Genomic DNA, 2,612 nt, shown 5'->3' with positions numbered 1-2,612 from the left:
GAGAATGGGAAACATGCGTCCACACAAAAACCTGCATGGGAATATTTACAGCAGCATCATTCCTGACAGCCCTAAGTGGCAGCAACTCAAATATCCATCAACTGATGAGTAGGTAAAGAAAATGTGGTATATCCACAGAATGGAATATTAATCAGCTTTAAAAAGGAATAAAGTCCTAATTCCTGCTACAACATGGACAAACCTTGAAAACATTGTGCTAAGTGAAAGAAGCCTGACACAAAAAGCTACAGATTCTTTGATTCTATTTACATGAAGTGTCTGTCATAGGCCAATCCATAGAGAGAGAAAGTAGATTAGTGGCTCCCAAGTACTAGGGGGAGAGAGGGGTGAGAAATGACTGCTAATGGATTTGAGGTTCCTTTGTGAGATGATGATAACGTTCTAAAATTAGACATTAGTAATGATTGCACGATTCTTTGAATCCACCAAAACCCACTGAATTGTACACTTTGAAGGGTTTTTGTATTCATGTAAATATAAATGTAACATATTTCATGGTATGTGAATTGAATCTCAATGCAGATGCTATTTTAAAAAGGGAGTGACTTTAAGACTGCTGATAGCATTACCACGATACAGTGAGAACAAGGAGGAGCAGATTTAGGAAAAAGGTGATTTTGAGACATATTAAATATTAAGTTAAGGCATTTATAAGACTTTTAGATAGAAATATTCATACTGAAGATGTTTATCTGCAGCTTTAAAAGAGGTAGCTCTTCAAATGCAGGTGGTTCTAAATGGGAAAAAATATAAAAATTAAAAAGAGGTAGATACGTGTATTGTCCGCACAGAAATGATTATTGGAACCACAGAAGTTGATAAAACTAAACCTCTGAGTGAGAAAGTGCAGAGAGAAGAGACTAAGCCAAGATAAAATCTCGAAAATTGCTATAGGAAGGCAACAAGGGAGAAAACGAAATTCCAGGAAGAAGAACTATTTGAAAAAGGTCTCTGGAAAGAAGGAGCCTAGAACACATGGAGACCTAAAATATAAGGCCAATGTGGTAGAGCCCAGAGGCACGTCAGGGGACAAGGTGAGACATGATGAGTCCTCAGAGGTGAGTTCCTACAACCTTTGTAGGCAAGGCTAAGGTTAAGGCAGGGTTCACCTAAGAACAATATGAAGCTATTCAGCAAGGAGCATCGTAGTTAGATTTGAATTTCCAACAATCACTCTGGCCATGGTGTGGAGAACAATTTGGAGAGGGTTCAATCAAAATAATCCTGGTGGGAGACACTATTAATAAGTTGGACAAGGTTGGTGGTAGAGTAGTTCTGAGCTGAATAATTTAGGGGTCATCATCATCTGGATGGTCAGTGAAGCCTCGGAGTGAATGAGATTGATTAGGGAGAGAGAATACAGCAAGAAGCAAAGAAGACCAGTTTAGGACGATAAGACTGAGGGCCACAGTGAACTTATAGAACATCTGTACTTAATGGCCATATTGAGGAGAATGAGCCACTAAATGAGAGAGAGAAGTGTTTGTCATAGAAGTAGAAGAACGTCAGCATAATGCAGTGTCATGGAAACCAAGGCAAGAGGGTGTTTCAAAGAGAAAGGAACAACCAGCAAGGAAGAGTGGTTTGGGTGCTGCTGAGAACTCAGTAAGGATAAAGACTGAAAAATGTTCGTTGTGAAAATTTCATATCATTCCATGGCAAAAGTGTTTCATAAAGAGATTAAATTACAAACCTCAGAACCAGACACAACCTTTTAATGAGGAGGCGTGACCAGTGTTGAACGCTGTTAAACACTGTTCATGAATGTTAAAAGAAGTGTCTGATGCTGATTAGGGAACCTGAGACTTGGTGGCCTTCCAAGTAGCTTTAGTAATAAGCCATGACTCACCCACCTGAAGGGTGTTCTAGAGATGAAGTTTCCAAACCCATAGTACCCTGGCTCCTAGAACTTCCACCCAAAGAAGTCCAGGAATGCGGACATGAGCTGGGAATGCCCATTATCCTGCTAATCTCTAAAAACAGAGAGGGTAAACACACACATTTGACTCGTCAAATCTTTTGGTAGTGCAAAACCATGTTGGTTTTTTTTTTTTTTCTTTTTTCTTTGAGTCGGAGTCTTACTCTGTCGCCCAGGCTGGAGTGCAGTGACGCGAACTTGGCTCACTGCAACCTCCGCCTCCCAGGTTCAAGCAATTCTCCTGAGGCTGAGCAATACTCAGCCTCCCGAGTAGCTGGGATTATAGGTGCACACCACCATGCATGGCTAATTTTGTATTTTAGTAGAGATGGGGTTTCACCATGTTGGCCAGGCTGATCTCAAACTCCTGACCCCTGGTGGTCCATCCGCCTCGGCCTCCCAAAGTGCTGGGATTATAGGCATGCCGGCTAACCATGTATATTTCTTAATTAATAAGTTCATCTTACCCTCTTTCACATATCCCACTTCTACTTCCAACACCTAAAAGTTCATGCTCTCATTTATTTTTGCTGAAGGTATAATTGGTCAGTTTTGGAGGATTTAACCAATTAGAAGTGTAACAATACTAGCAATGTAAATTATAGCATCATCAACCATTTTTGTAAAATTGTCATAATCCAGTAATGACTTCAGTGTTGACTGTTATCAGTGA

Source organism: Homo sapiens, chromosome 2 (assembly GCF_000001405.40).
Source record: "Homo sapiens chromosome 2, GRCh38.p14 Primary Assembly".
Lineage (NCBI taxonomy): Eukaryota > Metazoa > Chordata > Mammalia > Primates > Hominidae > Homo > Homo sapiens.
This window is presented reverse-complemented; position numbering follows the sequence as displayed.